This window comes from Homo sapiens, chromosome 8, assembly GCF_000001405.40.
Source record: "Homo sapiens chromosome 8, GRCh38.p14 Primary Assembly".
Lineage (NCBI taxonomy): Eukaryota > Metazoa > Chordata > Mammalia > Primates > Hominidae > Homo > Homo sapiens.
The window spans coordinates 107,360,320-107,381,424 of NC_000008.11; the positions used below are offsets into that span (position 1 = coordinate 107,360,320).

Here is a 21,105-nt window from a genome sequence, read left to right on the forward strand (position 1 = left end):
GAAATAGGTATGGTTACCATCTCAGACCAATGAGGTGGCAGAAGTGATGAGAAGTTCAGTAACATGATCAGGACTACAGAGCCCAAATATTGCAGTCGATATTCAGACTCAAGTCTCTTTGATGCCCGGGTCACTCTCTTTCCGCTTTATTCAGCCCCATGTTCTTGGTTAGGGCAAGAATTACAAACAGGCCCTTTGCTGCCCAAGTTCAAACAGCCAAAGTGTTTTGTTTGACTAGCACATTATTTTTAAAATATGGTTTCAAGCCTTTAACAAGAGTATGTAATCTCTAGTTATCCACAGCCCATACCTCTCTTGGATATAAAACTTCTGGCCCTTTTAGCTATTAAGGTCAGTTGCCCAGATCCTAATGGCATTTGAGTTGCCATCATTAAGCGGGAAATGAAGGCACCTAACATTTGATGATCACCGTCAGGCAGTAAAAAAGTCTTCATATACTTGTTGTCCTTTTAAAAATACAATGAAAAGTCCCCCTCACCACTCTCACGCTTAGAAATACTGAAAGAATGATTGAATCAACATGTGGCAAGACATTTGAGGACTTTGTAAGCCCAGCATAAATAAGAAACATAATAATTTTATATGACAAGTTGACTTATTCTTTCCTCAGGTCCATAGTGACATGCTATTTATGGCCACATTAATTATCTTTGCTGAAAAGCATTAGCATTTTCTTTCATTTACTCAACCAAAACAGAGACATCATCTTCACGTGCATATGGATTAGTATCATGTTTGTTCTCCTGTTCATTACACCATAATTCCTTCAAATAAGCACAAATATCAAGCAAATATGGATTCTAACATTATTATATGCACATAATATTAGAGCATATTCTCATAGAATGAGCTCTAATATTATGATTTTTTTTAAAGTTTACTAACAAAATCCAATCAATATTCAAACAAGCCATTTTTCTTTGGGAAATAGTGTTTTCTTCTTTACTAAACTAAAACATGTTGTACTGTAAATTGAACCTCCTGAGCTGGAATAATTTTATCTCAAAAATGTTTTGGTTGTTGAAAGCAAAGTTATGCTTAAAGAAAATTTGCAGATATATATATATTTGTATAGAATCTTAAATTGGAATATATATAGAATATATATAGATCTATCTATAAATATAGAATATATACATACATATGTATCTGTGTATCTATATCTATATCTATAGAATATATGTATATATTATATATCAATATAGAATATATGTATATATTATATATCAATATAGAATATATGTATATATTATATATCAATATAGAATATATGTATATATTATATATCAATATAGAATATATGTATATATTATATATCAATATAGAATATATATATGGGATGGGGTAATAGACAGTTCATGTTTCCCCTTGAAAATGCCATATCTTATTAAGTATGTATAAGAACACGGAATGGTAGTTTAAATGTCAGCAAAGACAGGCTGGCGCAGTGGCTCATACCTGTAATCCCAGCATTTTGGAAGGCCAAGACAGGCAGATCACCTGAGGTCAGGAGTTCAAGACCAGCCTGGCCAACATGGTGAAACCCTGTCTCTACTAAAAATACAAAACTTAGCCAGGTGTGGTGGCAGACGCCTGTAATCACAGCTACTCAGAAGGCTGAGGCAGGAGAATCACTTGAACTCTGGAGGCAGATCAATGAGCTGAGATCGCGCCACTGCACTCTGGCCTGGATGTCAAGAGCGAGATTCCGTCTCAAAATAAATAAATAAATATTAGCAAAGACACACAGATACATACACATATGTAGATGTGCATATGTATTATACATTTTCACATACTTTCTTATATAAACACATTTCAATGAGCATTTACTCAGTAAGTTTTATATGTGTCCTATGCTAACAGGCAACGTGCCATGAATACATAAATATGAAAAAGATGCAGTTCTTGCTTAGTCCCTGGCAAGTGAGAAAAACAAGTATATAAACAGATATCATTATAATTAGTAGCTGTTAAAGTGGAAATATTCTCTACAAGATTGTAAAAAATATACTCAAAGTTTATAAAATACATGACACTTTTATTCCATATTCTCATAGAGAAGAAATACAGTTTCAAGGACTTCTTAGTAAATTCAGAATTACTTAGTACAAACATGTCTTGGAGAAATACATACTTCATCAGCCTTTTTTTCTGTCCTGATGTGCATTCCCACCCAGGGCTGGCTGTTCTCATAATTCATAGCTTTAATATTAAAATTGTATCATCATCATTATCTCCAGGAAACCATGAAGCCCAAACCTGATAGATTCTAGGATCTCATTGAGGCCTTTTGCATTCTTGACTTCTTAAAGCCAAGGGTTCTCATGTCACAGAGATGTGTTTAATATGAGATGTGTTATATTAAAAAGTCTAATGAGTTTACTGGAAAACCACCATTATAGAAAAGAAATTATACATTTGCTTTTTCATAATTCTCACCATTTTTTTTCTGTAAAAAAGGAAGAGTCAGAGATTATAAGTAATTTCCCAGAAGACATACAGTTACATGAGGCTTACCCAGCTTGTCTAGGATTGGGCTAATCCACACCATGCCTATCTTCCCAGTTGTAAGAATTTCTCATATCAAAAATAGAGAATCTTTGCAATCTACATGACTTCTTCCAAACTGGGGGAAATGTCTTGGTGAATTCCCACAGGCAGGTAGAATGTTGCGGCATGAAGAGCTATTTTTAACATGGTGCTATGGAGAGCTCCCAGAATGTGTCAGCAGGGAACCTGAGTGCTTTTTTTTTTTTTTTTTCTCCCACTTGTCAGCCATATGAACTCCAAGGTCTTTTACTTCTGTGAGATAAATATTTCTCATCAGTAAAGCCATCAGGCTAATTGTACCTGTCCTAAACATCTCAAAAGTTTCTTGTAATGATCAAATGAAATAATACATGTCAAAATGCTTGGTCAGATGTAAGGTGCCATGTAAATGTCAGATACTTATACTTCGATGTGGGTAGGTTGGAAGAAGCAGTTTGAGAATCTATTAGAAGTGTGAATTCTCTGGTGTAACTGCATATACAGTTATCAATAAGAAGACAATGAACAGCTAATACTAGCCACCATATTATTGCTTTTTCCAAGTTCTGATTTATATTTACGTGAGAAGCAGCACATGAGAAGCAGTGTTTGAGAAAGAATAATAAGTTTTGGACTCTGTTAGCTCTAAGCTGGCAACTGGCTAGCTGTGTGACTTTGAGCAAGTTGCTTTCCCTCTCTGTGCTTTAGCTTCTGCATCTAGAAAAAGCGAAGAATAATGCATCTGTATCATAGTATTGTTTGAGGATTAAATAAGAAAAATCATAAATATACCTAAATTGAAAAATAAAATAACAAGCTTCAAATGGGAAGAATGGGATTAAACTGCCTCAGTGGGCATGGATGTGACAGATGGCATTGGACAGTAAAAAAAATAATAATAATAGAAATTTGTTACAGAGGCCTAGCTTCCTAATACTTATTAACACTGTGACTATGAACAAGCCACTTAACTACTCTAAGCCTCAACTTCCTCATCTGTAAATATAATAATATCTACATCAAAGCAGTTTTGTCAAGAATGAAACTATTTCATTAACTGTAGCTATAAAAATATAGTCCCCTGACTGACACTTGCTGACTGACTAATACTACAGTTACGCAAATCTAAGTATCTTTCCTTTTAACACTATTTCAGTACATCTATATACTACAGGCTGGCCATAAAGTCTATAGGTAATAATATCCTATTGCATTTTAATGTAATGTCAGAAAGCCATTTACTATATATATTTACTAATTTTTCCAGCCTTAAGGCCACCAGTGGACTTACTCTTTTGGAATTTTTTATATAGCAAGCAAGCATCCACAAGGATGTTTTTAGTTATATGATTAAATAAAGAAATGCTAAATCCCTGAGGTTTATGAAATAATACAATGGTTAATATTATTATTACTACGATTTTTTGAGACAGCGCCTCACTCTGTCACCCAGGCTGAAGTGCAGTGGTGAAATCTCGACTGACTGTAACCTCCATCTCCCAGGTTCAAGCAAGTCTCCTGCCTCAGCCTCCCTAGTAGCTGGGATTACAGGTGTGCGCCACGATGCCCAGCTAATTTTTATATTTTCAGTAGAACCAGGGTTTTGCCATGTTGGTCAGGCTGGTCTCAAACTCCAGACCTCAAGCCAGCCACCTGCCTTGGCCTCCCAAAGTGCTGAGATTACAGGCGTGAGCCACTGTGCCCAGCCCGATGGTTAATATTAGCTGTTGATTGTCTTCTCATTGATAACTGTAAATGCACTCACACCAGAGAATCCATTCTTCTAATGGATTTTCAAACTGCTTCTCCCAATCTAACTACACCAAAGTGTAAGTATCTGACATTTGCATATAAAGAAACATCTTGTATAACACGTGCTAGTTGTTTCAAAACTTCAAAGGGAATTTTCTCCTTGAGCAATTTTAATCCAGAAAAACCTGTAATTATGATTTCAATGATGAATAGACCACAAAGTGCTAGGCCAGCAATTAATAAAGTGAGAGACTGCAGTGAACGCAGTTCCTAGATGTCTTTCAGAAAAGAACTGTGCAGGTAAGAGGTGTAGGGAGCAAGGATTGGAGGAAGATTGCAGAAGGGGGAAAAAAAAAGACATTCTAAACATTATAGTTAACACAACTACCTGAACATCTGACTTCAAGGAATGAAGCATAGAATTATTCATATTATAAAAATATTCATCACCTTATGTAGTACACAAGGGCCCAGAAAGTAACAATATTGCAAGCATTTAAGGTTTTTATTAAAACTTCCTGATAAATTGATAAATAGACTGATAAGCTGAAGCATTTCAAGTTACTGATGATACTATCAATGCAATGGTAAGACAAGGCAAATATGACATTAGAATAAATACAAAGCACATTTATTCATATGGTTCACTACCGGAAACTCAGCATACTTGACAATGGGCAGCCTCAAATGGTGCTCTCCCCCATGAGAAGTAGTGCCTTATTAAGACAGATTGATGTTTAGAATTTCATAAACCTCAGGGGCTTAGCACTTCTTTATTTAATCTTATAACTAAAAACGTCCTTGTGGATGCTTGCTTGCTATATAAAATAATTCCCAATGAGTAAGTCCACTGAGATTTCTGAGTTTCCTGTGACTCTCACCATTAATGCATCTGCAACCACCATGGTATTGGGCATGAAGCAATAAGCTGTATCCTCATCTGGGGCATGTCTACTGGTCTAACATGGAAAGGTCATGATTCCATGAGCATTGGGATTTCGTCTTTCAATGGGATTGTAAACAGGAAGAGGCTCTCCAACAAAGAGACATTAAAATACTCTGCCTTCCAAAACATTCAGATAGATGCAATCACTAGAAGAGAATAAGATTGGTTCTTCTCAGGAAAAAAACATAAACATAACTAAGTCAGGTTAAAGTAGTGGTTTTCTCATTTTCTTGACTGTGACCCACAGTAAGAAGTGCAGTTTTAATTAGGACAAGAAACAAATACAACACACACACACACACACACACACACACACACACGATTTTGCCTGTATACACAAATAGAAATAAAAGTTTCATTAAAAAATACTAAATCCAATTACACAGTAAACACTAGAACCCAGGTCTCTGACCCTCTGATATTTTTACAATGTTTAATTTTATTTCATTTGTACAAAAAGGCTTGACTCAATCCATTTTTAATTTTCTCAACTTACTGTGGTCATAATGTTCAGTTACAAAACACTGAATTGGAAATTGATGCTCAAAATATTATTTATTATGTTATCACTATATGCCCAGTAATGTGCTAAATAGTTTGCTCACATCATAGCATTTAGTCCTCAAACCAACCATCAGAGATGAGTTTTACTAAATCTACTTCATGGACAAAGCATCTGAGATTAGAATTTAGCTCTGCTTGTGCAGACAGGAAATGGGAGAGCAGAGATTAGAAGTCAGTCTTTTCTAATTCCTACTCATTCAAATACTTTCTAATTCTTATCATATTACACCACCAAAAAGCCAAAAGTTGCTACTTCAGGGCAGACTAAACAGAATTCTGGTTAAATTAGCACAAAAGTATCTCTGTACAATTAAAAAAATATAACTGGCAAAACCTGAAATACGTTTGCTGTGTTTTTTTAAGATCATTGTATATATGTACAATAAACTCAACACAGTTGTCCTTAGAACATGGGCTCACTGTTTTTTATCCAGAAAGCTTGTTGTCATTATTTTTAAGTTAACAGTTGTGAAACTTAACTGCGTATTGTTACTTATAAACACTTCAATTGGATGAACTCAAACTGATTATTGAATCTAAAGACAACATCAATATGGTGATCAGCTTCTAAGATGGTCCAGCGATCCCTACCTCATGGTAGTTATACCCTGGCATAGTCCCCTCCTGCATTATATCAGAGTTGATCTGTGTGATCAATAGAATATGGCAGAATAGATGCTATGCCACTTCAAATATTGCATTGTAAATGGCACTACAGGTTCTATTTGCATTCTGTCTCTCTGGCTCTGTCTCTCGGGCTCTGTCTCTCTGATCACTCATTCTGGGGAAAGTCATACTGTAAGAAACCTTATGGTGGAGAGACCCACATGGTGAGAAACTGAGGCCTTCCAACAACAACGGGGGAATAGACCCTGCAGCCCCAGTCAGGTCTTCAGAGATTGCAGTCCCTGAACCAGAATCACCCAGGCTAAGCCATCCCCAGATCCCGAAATCTCACAAACTATATGAGATGATAAATATTTGCTATTTTAAGCTACATGAATACTTTGGAGACATTATGGGTTTGGTTCCAGACCACCACAATAAAGCAAATAGTGCAATAAAGCAACTCATACAATCTTTTTGGTTTCTCAGTGCATAAAAAAGTTGGGTTTACACTATACTGTGGTCTATTAAGTGTGAAATAGCATTATGCCTAAAAAACAAGGTACATATTTAATTTAAAAATGCTTTATGGTTAAAAAATGGTGAAGATCAACTGAGACTTCAGTGAATCCTAATCTTTTTGCTGGTGGAGGGTTTTGTCTTGATGTTGATGACTGCTGACTGATCAGGGTGGGGTGATGATTGCTAAAGGTTGGAGTGGCTGTGACAATTTTTAAAAATAAAACAGTGAAGTTATCCATATCAATTGACTGTTCCTTTCACTAAAGATTTATCTAAAGCATGCTCTCTGTCTCTCTCTGTCTCTCTTTGATCACTCACTCTGGGGAAAGTTATACTGTTTGGTAGTATTGTAACCACAGTAGAACTTTTTCAAAATGGGACTCAATCCTCTGAAACCCTGTCAATACTTTGTTAAAGAAGTTTATGTAATATTCTAAATCCTCTGTTGTCATTTCAACAATGTTCATGGTTGTTGACCAAGAGTAGATTCCATGTAAAGAAACCACTTTCCATAAGAAGCAACTCCTCATCTATTTAAGGTTTATCAGGAGATTGCAGCAGTTCAGTCACAACTTCAAGCTCCACTTCTAATTCTAATTCTCTTGCTATTTCCACCACATCTGCAGTTGCTTCCTCAACTGAAGTCTTGAACCCCTTAAAATCATCCATGAGGGTTGGCATCAACTTCTTCCAAACTTGTGTTAATTTGGATATTTTGACCTTCTCCCATGAATCACTAATGTTCTTACTGGCTTCTAGAATAGTGAATCCTTTCCAGAAGGTTTTCAATTTACTTTGCCCAGATCCATCTGAGGAATCATTGTCTATGGCAGCTTTAGCCTTCTAAAATGTATTTCTTTAATAAGACCAGTAAGTCAAAATTACTCCTTCATCCATGGGTTACAGGATGGATATTGTGTTAGCAGGTATAAAAACAATATTAATATTCTTGTGCATCTCCATCAGAGCTCCTGGGTCACCAGGTGCATTGTCAATGAACAGTAATACTTTAAAAATAATCTTTTTGTTTGAGCAGTAAGTCTCAAAAGTGGGCTTAAAATATTCATCATGCCATGCTGTAAACAGATGTGCTGTCATTCACGCTGTTTGGTTCCATTTCTAGAGCACAGGCAGAGTAGATGTAGAATAATTCTTAAGGACCCTAGGATTTTTGAGTTAGTAAATGAGTATTCCTTATACTTATTTATAAGTATATTCCTTATACTTATTTATAAGTATATTCCTTATACTTATTTATAAGTATATTCCTTATACTTATTTATAAGTATATTCCTTATACTTATTTATAAGTATATTCCTTATACTTATTTATAAGTATATTCCTTATACTTATTTATAAGTATATTCCTTATACTTATTTATAAGTATATTCCTTATACTTATTTATAAGTATATTCCTTATACTTATTTATAAGTATATTCCTTATACTTATTTATAAGTATATTCCTTATACTTATTTATAAGTATATTCCTTATACTTATTTATAAGTATATTCCTTATACTTATTTATAAGTATATTCCTTATACTTATTTATAAGTATATTCCTTATACTTATTTATAAGTATATTCCTTATACTTATTTATAAGTATATTCCTTATACTTATTTCTTAAGAATAATTCTTAAGGACCCTAGGATTTTTGAGTTAGTAAATAAGTATTGTCTTCAACTTAAAGTTACCAGCTGCGTTATCCCCCTTACAAGAGAGTCAACCTGTCTTTTGAAGCTTTGAAGCCAGGCATTGACTTTTGCTGTCTAGTTACACAAGTCCTAGAAAGCATCTTCCTCAATATAAAGTTGTTTCACCTACATTAAAAATCTGTTGCTTAGTATAGCCACTATCATCAGTGATTTTATCTAGATCTTCTGGATAACTTGATGCAGTTTCTACATCGGCACTTGCTGCCTCACCTTGCCCTTTTATGTTATGAAAATGGCTTCTTTCCTTAAACCTCATGAGCCACAACCTCTGCTAGATGCAAACTTTTCTTCTGCAGCTCTCTCACCTCTCTCAGCCTTCATAGAATTGAAGAGAGTTACGCCTTGCTCTGGACTAGGTTTTGGCTTAAGGTAATGTCGTGGCTGGTTTGATAGTCTATCCAAACTACTAAAACTTTCTTCATATTAGTAATAAGCCTATTTTGTTTTCTTAACATTTGTGTATTCACTGGAATAGTATTTTAATTTCCTTCAAGAACTTTTCTTTTGCATTCAGAACTTGGCTAACTGCTTGTTGCAAGAAGCCTAGCTCTCAGCCTGTCTTGGTTTCTGACATGCCTTCTTCACTATGCTTAATTATTTCTAGATTTTGCTTTAATGCTAGAGATGTACAATTCTTCCTTTTACTTGAACACTCAGAGGCCACTGTAGGGTTATTCATTGACCTAATTTCAATATTTTTGTGTCTTTGAGAATAGGGAGGCCCATTGAGAGGGAGAGAGATGAGGAAATGGCCCATGAGTGGAGAAGTCAGAACACACATACCACTTATCGATGAAGTTCTCCTACTCATTTGAGTGTGGTTCATGGCACTCCAAAACGGTTACAATAGCAATCTCAATGATCTCAAAGATCACTGATGTGCCAAGTGCAGCAGCCTCCCAGCTACTTGGGAGACCAAGGTGGGAGGTTTGCTTGAGCCCAGGAGTTGAAGATCAGCCTGGGCAATATAGAGAGACTCTGTCTCCACAAAAACATAAAATTTGCTGGGTGTGGTGGCACGCATCTGCAGTCCCAGCCACTCAGGAGGCTGAGGTGGGAAGATTGATTGAGCCATGGGAAAGTCAAGGCTCAGAGAGCCATGATCATGCTATTGTGTTCCAGCCTGGGCAACAGAGCAAGACCCTGTCAAAAAGAGAGAGAGAGAAAGAGAAAGAAAGAAAGAGAGAAAGAAGAAAGAAAGAAAGAAAAAAAGAAAGAAAGAAAGAAAGAAAGGAGAAAGGAAGGAAGAAGGAAGAAAGAGAGAGAGAGAAAAAGAAAGAGAAGGAAAGAAGAAAGAAAGAAAAGGAAAGAAGAAAGAAAGAAGGAAGGAAGGAAAGAGAAAGGAAAGAAAGAAAAAGAAAGAAAGAAAGAAAGAAAGAAAGAAAGAAAGAAAGAAAGAAAGAAAGAAAGAAAGAAAGAAAGAGTCAGGGTCAGTGGCTCAGGCCTATAATCCTAACACCTTGGGAGGCCAAGGTGTGCAGATCATGAGGTCAGGAGTTCAAGACCATCCTGACCAACATGGTGAAACCAGCCTGCCCAACATGGTCTCTACTAAAAATAAAAAAATTAGCCGGGCATGGTGGGCGTGTGCCTGTGATCCCAGCTACTCAGGAGGCTGAGGCAAGGGAATCACTTGAACCCAGGAGGTAGAGGTTGCAGTGAGCTGAGATCACGCCACTGCACTCCAGCCTGGGTGACAGAGCAAGACTCTGTCAAAAAAAAAAAAAAAAAAAAAAGAGGAAGAAGAAAGGAAGGAAGAAAAGAAGGAAGGAAGGAGGGAAGGAAGGACAATGAAAAGAAAAAAAAGAGGAAAATAATCACTAATCACAAATAACCATAACAGATAAAATGATAATGGGAAAGTTCTAAATATAATGAGAATTACCAAAATGTGACACAGAGACACAAAGTGAGCATATGGCATTGAAAAAATGGTGTCAATAGACTTGCTCGACACAGGGTTGCCACAAACCTTTGATTTGTTTAAAAAAAAAAAAAGCAATATCTGTAAAATGCTATAAAGTGAAGTGAAATAAAACAAGGTAGGCCTGTACTAAATTTTGGTATAATTTGTTAGGCAACCAACAGATAATCGATGCAAACAGTTACAGCTTGAACCTGGCGAGATGCCATCTCAATAGGGTTTTTATGTATGTGTTACATGGTAACTTTAAGGCTGGAAAAGGAAAAGGAAAAAGAGAAATAAACTAAATAATCAGTGTAGTAGGATCAAAGTGTTTACTTTTAGGCTTTCAAATCAAACTACACAGTGTGGACTAGAGTCTACTGATGCAATTTCTAAATCATTGAGACTACTAATCCCAAGCAGCCAATAAAATAATTTGTCAGTCAATCTGTGAATTTGTCAGCATCTCTTTTCACTCTTGTTCTCCCCAGTCCTCAGCTATTTTGAAAATCACATCTCATTGGAAGTTGAACCAGAAAAAAGAAGAACACTGAAGCTTACATATGTGTTCTGCTACTCTTTGTGGTTTGTGGTGGAGGCTAGTTAGACTAAATTTGAAAGTTGGCAAAATTGGGCACCATAATCCTTCTTCAATCCCCTCTCTCTTGGTGCTGAGCATTCTTTTTTTTTTTTTTTTTTTTTTGGACAGAGTCTAGTCCTGTTGCCCAGGCTGGAGTACAGTGGCACAATCTTGGCTCACTGCAACCTCCACCTCCCAGGTTCAAGTGATTCTCCAGCCTCAACCTCCCTAGTAGCTGGGTTTACAGGCACCCACCAGCAGGCCTGTGGTGCCGGGCATTCTTATGCTGTCTTCCACCTGCCTAAACCCCTCTTCTATGGCATTTACCCAGGACTGCCTTTCCCCACAATAACTTCTCATTACCTTAATTCACATAAAGGCATGAATGAATGGTTTCCAACTTATTGCTCTTCTGGCTGTTTTAATTTTCTAAAAGATGCTGTTTGCTCAATTAAATTCTGACCTTTTGGATCTCAGGGAGCCTTATAAGCTGAGGTGATGATTTTATCATTGAAAATATATGTATCATACCTATGTCATATGGACCAAAAGTGAAATTACTAGAAAAAAAAATGTGTTGTATGATATTAGGAGTGTTGTTCAGTTATTTATAGATTTAAATAGAAATTTTCAACTTCAAAACTATTGACACTTAGGGCAAGGTGATGTTTCATTGTGTGTGCATGTTTGTGTGAGGAAATCCATGTGTTATATGTAGCAGAGCCTCAGTTTACTAGATACCAGTAGTGCCTCCCAGCTGTAACAAGTAAAACTGTCTTCAAATATTGCCAAATGTCCATTGGTGGCAAAATCATGCCCAGCTGAGAACTACTGATATAAATAATTGCTACCATTTTGAGCAAGTATGTGTGTGTATTTAATAAAGGGATATAAGAAAAAAATGTCGGGAAATGTGGGGTTATTTAGGAGATGACCATTCTCCTGGTGCCTCTAAAATTACAATCCATGTAATAGAACCAAATGCATTTGTCTAATTCTTATCCTGTATTCTAATAAAAGGCAGAGATTGAAACTATTAGTTTCATGTTTAACTCTATTATTTAACTTATCAGATAACTAAGATTTGGCCATATTTTCAAAACAGAAACAGAAACACAATGTTAGAGCTGAAATGATCACGGCTGCTGTTTCTCGAAATGTCTGCTCCTTAAAGACCATGGCCCAGAGAAAGAAAGTCTCACAGAAATGCAGTGACACAGTAACGATTAGAATGCAGGTCTATGACCATCTGTTCTCCAGTGAGGAGGAAACAACAAAAGATACTTTCCTCTTGGTTAGTAGCTCACCGACATTACATTTTCCTCTGGATTTTTGTGTTATATACGTTATATGTACCTAAAGCCACCAAGCAGAAGACGTGAGCGTGACTAGAGTCTACGCCAGGTATTCACATGACCTAAAGGTAAGGCTCAATTTCTCTGCCTCAGTCTCCTCCTCTTTAACATGGGGCTAACAACACGAAATTATTGTGAAGTACTTTGAAAACTATTACCTGCAATTAAAATGTGATTTACCTTATTGTCATGCTAAAACATTTGAGACATTTATACAAATGGTGACTACATGCAAGTTTATCTCAGACAGAAAAGTGATAATCCCAATGCTGTCAGAACTAAATTTACAAGGAGTTTATGCTGTTGCTGTGATAAGGTGCTAAAAATGACCTCTTTGACAAAGTGTAAATCCTTCTCCATTTCCTAACTTTTCAGTATCTCAATTACCTACTCTCTTAAGTGGTCATTAACTTCAACACTATTTTTAGTCAAGTACAAAATAGATTTTTTTTTTTTTGAATTAGAGAGTGTATTTGGAGGAGATCTGAAGAAAACATACAAATTTTGAAGGAACACTGTCTTTTTACCAATGGGTTTCTAAGTCACAGCATCTTATTTAAGATTCAGAGGTTGAATTTTAAAATATGCTGAAACATGAAAATGATACAATTGACCACTCTGGAAACTGGATAGCAAATGCAGTGCTGTTGGGTTTGAGTATATCTGTCATGTTGGAAGAAGGAATGAGAGGTGGATTGAAGGAGTGAAATGATGTAGTCCATGAGGGATCATTCACAGAGACATTTCCTCTCCAAAAAGATACTATTTACCACTTGAGCCTGAAGAAAGAAGTGAGATAAGTTCTACGATGATGGAAGTTTTTCTTTCTAGGGGCTCTCTTGAATATATTCTTTAATGCCTTAGCAAGTCTGATGAACTGAAAGATTTACCATATTTTTCTAAGTGCCTCACTTTCCCTTCAGGTACAACCTGGGCTTTCAGGAAAAATCTGACTTATTGTGTCTTATAATGAAGTAGAAAGACTTATTAAAAACAGAGAATTAAGTAGATGAACATAATGATCTTTTTAAATGACCTCTCATTATTCTCTTAGAAGAAATGACTTAGTTAAGAAGAAGAGTCTTGGAAAGATACTGCCTATGCTAGCACTCAACTCGTGAAATGCTTCTTTCTCCAGTGAAAGTCAGCTGTTTGGTTCCCTTTCCAAAGAATTTCTGAACTTAGCACCACTTCAATTTGCTGCTCTAAGAATATTGACCTTAATTCCCATTTAAGAGAGTGAAGGGTTAGGATTAATGTTTCTTTTTTATATATGCTGCCTTGCAAAACCCTTTCCATTTACTCATAAAAAGGGCTTGCCAACCTTTTTTTATTGAATGGATAAAGCCCAGGTTATTTCCATCTTAAAAGTATGATCAAATATAGCAGTCGTAAGAAAACAGGAGACCAGAAGAGCCAACTGCAATAGACTGTAATATAATGCTATAGACTAGTTTATCAGATATCTTTATCAGGAAATTATTATAAGATTAGAAAGTATAATATTTACATTTAATTGTATTTTACACAATGGCAGTTCTCATGAGGAAATATACCTTAAAAGAAGAAAAACAAATTAAACTAACATGTTCACATGCACTGTATATTCTGGCAGGAGGTCATCACAGAGTCTTGCAGATTCTGTCCTGCCCAAGGCAGCCAGCCAAGGGTGTAAGTGGGGGACGAAATCCAATTCACTTTGAGCTCACTAAACTCCAATGCCTGTTGTAGGACTGGGCGGTTTTCTAATTCTCTCAAAAGCATTATATGGGCTACTGGTGGACACTTCTGGACTATTTCTGTCTGGTCGCAAATTGCCTTCTGTCTAATGGTCTAAAAGCAGTCTGTCTCTCTTAGAACAATCTATCTGACAAAAAGGGAGCACATGGCTATTGGCCAAAGAATTGACTTGCATTTCCCAGACTGACCTGATCCCACCCTCAGTCCCCAGAAGGGAATGGAGAAACCTACTCTTCACTGATAAAAATTCTGGTGGAAATCTGGATGGTATCAGATGGTATTTAGCTAGGGAGATAAGAAATGCTTAAATCTGGCCAGGCGCGGTGGCTCACGCCTGTAATCTCAGCACTTTGGGAGGCCGAGGAGGGCGGATCACGAGGTCAGGAGATTCAGACCAGCCTGGCCAACATGGTGAAACCCTGTCTCTACTAAAAATACAAAAATCAGCTGGGCGTGGTGGCACGCGCCTACAGTCCCAGCTACTCAGGAAGCTGAGGCAGGAGATTCGCTTGAACCCAGGAGGCGGAGCTTGCAGTGAGCCGAGATCATGCCACTGCACTCCAGCCTGGTGACAGAGTGAGACTCCATCTCAAACAAACAAACAAACAAACAAACGAAAAAAACTATCAGGATAAATCTAATTATTTATGATAAAATTTAGCATAAATAAGAACAGAAATTGCCAGTTATAGAAATAAGGTTGTTGAAAACCCTTAACAAATATGGCAGTTAGTATTTTTTTAAAAAAGAAATGCTTAAATCCTTCTTTTGTCCAGCAATGGCCTTGTTCCCTTGAGGTACCCTGTGGAAATATTAAGCCAGGGGACAATGGTCAAAAGAAAGCTAAATTCTACATTATTATTAATTGGGATTTTGTACCAAATTTCAATACAGAGCTCTCAAATTTTGCTGAAGTATAAAGCCTAGTGCTGAAGTGTAAGAAGGCCAGCCAATCCTCCACTGAAACTAACATTCAAATATTAGTATTTTACCATCCTCCTCCCAACCACAGGAGACAGACCTGATATGTGTATTGAGCACACATGAGTGAAGGCAAGAAGAGTGGACGAGGGACGTTAGCCAGGCTCCATATTGGTTTAGGACTGCCACCAAGGGTAAGGGTGGGATTGGGCACCTCAAGGAAAGAATGGAATGAAGCAGAGAGGAAAGTACCAGCAACAAGACTTGGACCTCACTGCTCAGGCCACATGGAAATAGGAAGCATGAGAAACACTGAGAAGCTGCCCTGATAAGAGCACAGGGGAGGCCCAGAGAAAGGGCCGTGTTCCTGAGTGTGCAGTTTTAAAGCAGCTTGCCCCTGTCTTCCAGGCTATATGGTCAATCATTGTTCTAGAATATGACCCAATTGGATTTGTATATTTTACTATTCTTGAGATTGAACCAGGAAAGGGCCTATGGGAAGAGACCTCTTGCTTTCTTTATTCAGGTACTATTTCTGTTCTTACAGATTTTTATCCCTATTCCTTTTTTCCAAACATTTCCCTTCTTTAGGAAGCACTTCATGAGTATGTAACTTCTCTAAACTATCATGTCATGACATTTAACCTTAAGAAGTAGAGCACAGCATTATAATGTCCCTCTTGTTCCATGCCTAACATTCTGTGCCTATGTTTCCACATGTAATCAAGTTGAGAACATTGCAAAATTTTAAATTCATAACTCTTGCCACAAGTTGCTCGCCATGTGGTTGAAATGATAGGATCCATGTATGTGGTAACGTGCAGCAAAATTTTAAGAAATAATTTCAATATGGAAGTATGGGGAACCCTGAGTTCTTTTCCAGGAGAGATTGCTGCAATTTAGAGGGGAGGGGAAATTGTTTATGGGAAAGGTAAAAATTAAACTCAAACCTGATTAGTGTTCAGGGAGGAGGAAGAAAGGAATTGCTATTAGAAAGAACAGATCTTACAAAGGGATAGAAGACAGAAAATGCACACTTGTTTGTTTGTTTTTGTTTTTTTGTGGGTTTTCTGTTTGTTTGGTTGGTTGGTTCAGGAGGAGGGAGCAGTGCATATTCTACTCCAGCCATAGCAGAGCTTTGGAAAGTGGTGAGAGATACGGTAAGGCCTAGCCAAACTGTGGCAGCTATTTAATGTTGGCTAAAGGCAATTTGAATTTTATCCCACTGAAAAATAAGAAAATCTGAGGATATAGGCCTTCAAGTCTGACTTTCGGTTCTCACTAAATTCCAAAATTTTTACATATCTATTATTATTATTGGAAACATTATTTCTAAGCTATCAACATGTAATTTGTGGTTCAGTGTGTCTGGGAAACAGAGTATTTCTATGATTTTTGAACTTAGAGTTTAGGAAATTTCCAATTTTGAAGCAAATATTCTCTTAGTGTCCCAAAAGATCAAGTACATTTTTTTTTCTTCTAATGCTTGGTCTGCACCATTCCATCTCAAATCACAGCTCATCACTGATTACACAAATACTTACAAGCAGGGCCCATTTTTAGTAGGTAATGAAGTGTAAGGATGAAGCTTAAATGATGCAATATACCCAATGTCTAGCCTTACATAAATAAATAAAGGGCCATTTGTTTCATTTCACTTCAATACACACTTTTGCAAGGGAACGTTCTATTTCTTTTGGCACACACAAAAAATTCTAAGTATACATCAACATTTTTTAATGTTGAAATATAGTTTTGCTTTTCCTTTATTCTAAAATAACTATATAATAAACATACTGGACATTTTTTGGTGCTTTGTTCAACAATGAACAGGCCGAATTTCCTCCCCAGATGCCTCGTGACATTGGCATATGCATAGCAGGAAACGTACACACTCCAAGTCATAATCCTGTCTGGATAAATCTGCCATGTGTGCTGGGCAAGCCAGACCTCATTCACCTGTTCATACTGACATTTAATCCATCACCAAACCTTACCTAGGGACTTTCTAAAGATAGTAATCTCACTGAAGGAGAAATGTACAGATTGCTACTCTTTGGGACTATTTTAAAGTATTTTGATGTTTGGAGAAGTGGAAGAAGAGAGGAAGATACAAGGGAAGAAACTACACTTGATGTAGAGTTAATCCATTTAAGCTTCAGAGCCTACCTTGTGATGTAAGCGTTGTCTCACCTATTTCCAGAAAAGGAGGTTAAAGCCAATGTTACATCACAAGTAAGCAGTGTAGATAAAATTTGAACCTGAAAATCCCTGGCTCAAAGTCCAAAGCTTTCAATTACACAATCTTGTCAAGAACGTAAAAACAGATGAGTGCATTGAATAGAAGAAAAGATGGCCCAAAGATTAATATTTGTAAATCTCCTCTAATATCTTGGTTAAATTTACCACCCAAAATAAACTTCAATATTGTCATGAAAAAAAAACATATCAGTTGTCAAAATTGACTCCATTGCACTGGCATACACTGCAGCTTAAGATATCCAAATGACTTAGCAGCAGAGCCAAGCGAATAGTTGAAAAATCACCCACTGTACTTCTAATTGAAATAGCCAATCTGTATAATATGCACTGTAAAATATGACTTTTCCATACAGCATTTGAAGCAGAATTCAGATAGATTCACTACTCAATTAAATCAGCCTTCATAGGGTTTAGACACACTTGAATTTTTTGGTTTAAAAATGGTGAAGGGAGTGCTCTTTTATACTTTGTTGTTGTCATTATGATTATTGTTACTTTAGGAACCATATATTTTAATCTGCAACTGCCTCTGAAAATGTCTATTCACATTTTTCAAAAAAGAAGCAAGTAGTGAGAAAGGTGCATTTAGAAATATTACCAACTCTCAAATCTCCAGTGAGCATCTGTGTATAGTATAAAGGCAAAATGCAGATGCCACTGATATGTTAATTATCCTAAGAGAAAGAAGGTATTATGTACCTAAATACAGTTGTATATATGTATAATGTGTGTATATGTTTATGTTTATACACACACCATATATACCTAACTATACTCTATGTACACTGTTACGGCTTGGCTCTATGTCCCCACTGAAATCTCATCTCAAATTGTAATCTGAACTGTAATCCCCATGTTTGGGGGTTGGGACCTGTTGGGAGGTGATTGGATCATGGGGTGGTTTCCCCCATGCTGTTCTCATGATAGTGAGTTCTTGCGAGATCTGATGGTTTTATAACGGGCTCTTCCCCCTTCCCTTGGCACTTCTCCTAACTGTGGCCTTGTGAAGAAGGTGCATTGGCTTCCCCTTCACCTTCCACCATGATTGTAAGTTTCCCGAGGCCTCCCCAGCCATGTGGAAATGTGAGTCAATTAAACCTCTTTTGTTTATAAATTACTCAGTCTTAGGTAGTATCTTTGTAACAGTGTGAAAATGAACAAATATATATATATATACACATACATATATATATATATACTCTATTATATATAACTGCTTCAAGACTATTTTTAGTCCTACAGTCTATTCATATTTTTCTAAATTTTCAAAAGTTTTACAAACTCTGTTTCTATTATTTTATATATAAACAATGTTAAAAATATTCAGAGCAATGGATATTTAGGGATGAGGGATGGGAGTCATCCACCCTGAGGGGAGATATATTTTTTCATGAAAACTGCTTAGAATTGTCAGGGCCTGATAATAAATGCAGACCAACTATTAGTTGGTTTTGTTACTGTCTTTAAATTATCTCCTTAAAAGGCAGACATTCATCACCTGCACCTAGAGTAGACCACCTCAATTGCTCCCTCCCTTGGTAGGCCACTAGCTGAAGGCCTTCTAGGAGAAAGTCATCACGTCTAAGTGTCTTGTTTCCTTAGTGGAACTGGAAGTACTTACTCCATAAGGCTGCCTTGACAATTAAATAAATTACAATTTTGAAAGTGGTTAGAACACTGCCTGAGATAGAGCAAGCATTACAGCACTGTTTGTTTAAGTAAATAAATGATATTTATGAAAAGCCTGATGTAGCAGTCCGCCAATTTTATAGATGAAGAAACTGAGTCTCAGAGGAGGTTAAAAAAAAAAGACATCAAACAGAAAATGATTGTGGTTTAAAGTAAAGATATTGACACTAAACCTGTACCCATTCTACCTCTCCCACACAAACGGGATCATGGCTTTAGTTTTTATTGTGTTATCCAATTATTGCCTTATTTTGCATATTTACTTCCCAAATTATTTGTGTACATATTTTTAACCTATAGCTTTATGGTATTTCAGAGCAGGTGCACTGAAGTATGGCAAGAGGGAAGATGACAGTTATTAAGAAAAAGTGAATTTATTCAACTTTTTAAGCTACTAAAAGCGTGCAAATTAGATTGTTATTGTTATTTTAAGAAAAAGAACATTATGTATTGAAAAAGTATGCCTTTCCAAGAAACCACTAACCAGATGTTGGGGTCTTGAGATATCCCAAAGGGATACTGGTAAAAAATGATGAAAGAACTTCCACACAAAAATCTAAGAAAGCGCGCACACATGTTATAACTATGAATATTGTTTGCAAAAATTTAACAAATCTGCTTCATCATCAGATACTACAGCCCCGGGATAGCCTGGTCTGGAAATGTGGTTTAAGGAAGAATAAAAATACAAATAGAGGAAAAATTACTAGGAAAATGTTAACACAATAAATTAAGTAGAATAGAGAAGGAATGCCAATATCTAAAGTTTATTACACACATGTGCCATTACCTGTGTGGTAATGGACTATTCAGTCTTTGATTCTATTCACAAGGCAGCAGTTAAAGGCTACATGATATAATCAATCAACTAGTTATTTGACATCGAATGTTTATTGAGCGTTTATCATGTGCAGGATGTTTGTGTGTGTGTGTGTGTGTGTGTGTGTGTCCTGCACAAAAACACATCTGACTATATATACGTATATATATGTATATATAGTGACAAAATACATATACTATGCATACACATTAGAAGCTAGATGCCATTTTGACTGTTTGGATTTTTTTTTCCCTGACCTTACACTTTAAAAAAAATTTATTTCTTAAAGCAATTGGTTAGTTTTTATAGGTGATATAGCCAGTGTGAGTTCACCATCTATGAACTGTAGTTTTCTTTATTAAGAATATTATTGTTTCAACCAATAGCATGCCAATACTTTCTCATTTTATCAAAACTGGAAATGTGTCTCCAAAAAATGGACCTATTGCTTTCTGAGGGGAAAATCTTTTCTACTGCATATCATCCCCACTTATCCATGTATCTTTGCTACTCAAGTAGGGCAGAGCCACAGAGAACAAAAGACAACGTCTTACTTTAGTGATGGCTGTGTAGGACAGAGAACCTTAAAGGACCCCACCACTCTCTTACCTGTGTTTGTTTATAGGGGTTTTGTTTGCCTGTGTGTGCTTGCTTAATGCTTTGCATTTGCAAAGTAAAAGCAAGGTCATCTCTGTTGAGAAGCTTGTTGGGTACTCCAGATGGATTTTGCTAATTCTTGGGAAGGCCTGAAGTTTAGATAAGTGGAGACTGTAGAAAAGTTCAATTCTTCCTGTTACTGATTTCTTTAGTGTTTTAACTCCATCTCCTAGTGGGCAGCTCTTTGTTTTATGTTGCTGGGTGGATGGCCATTGGCTCTCTTTCTGGTTTTATTGGAAGTTTCTTCAAATGGCTGTGGTAAATTTCAATGAACTTTTTTATCATGCTCATTTCACTTAATTTGGTAGTTGTGGAGTTCCAAGTCAAACAGAAATTTCAGGCAAAATGCTCAAAGGGGAAAAACTTGAATCCAAATCAGCAGGACTTAAAAGCAACACTGTGTGTGCCGGGAACTTGCCCAGAGATTAACCCTATTGAATAGTGACAGGCAGCTATGACATTACCTGTCAATGTTTGCTTCTCCAGAGGGTCCCAAGAACCACTTCAT

The 21,105-nt window shown here is 36.5% G+C and overlaps 1 protein-coding gene across 3 annotated transcripts in view, besides 1 other annotated feature; it reads right to left on the reverse strand.

The window, feature by feature from the left end:
• ANGPT1 (angiopoietin 1) overlaps positions 1–21,105 on the reverse strand; it is a 248,437-nt gene that overhangs the window by 110,838 nt on the left and 116,494 nt on the right. The window lies entirely within an intron of this gene.
• Positions 2,768–2,968: a silencer, noted in NCBI's record as "peak7143 fragment used in MPRA reporter construct". NCBI's record gives its function as "represses an SCP1 promoter by STARR-seq MPRAs in K562 erythroleukemia cells {active_cell/tissue: K562}" and the evidence as "EXISTENCE:reporter gene assay evidence [ECO:0000049][PMID:32103011]".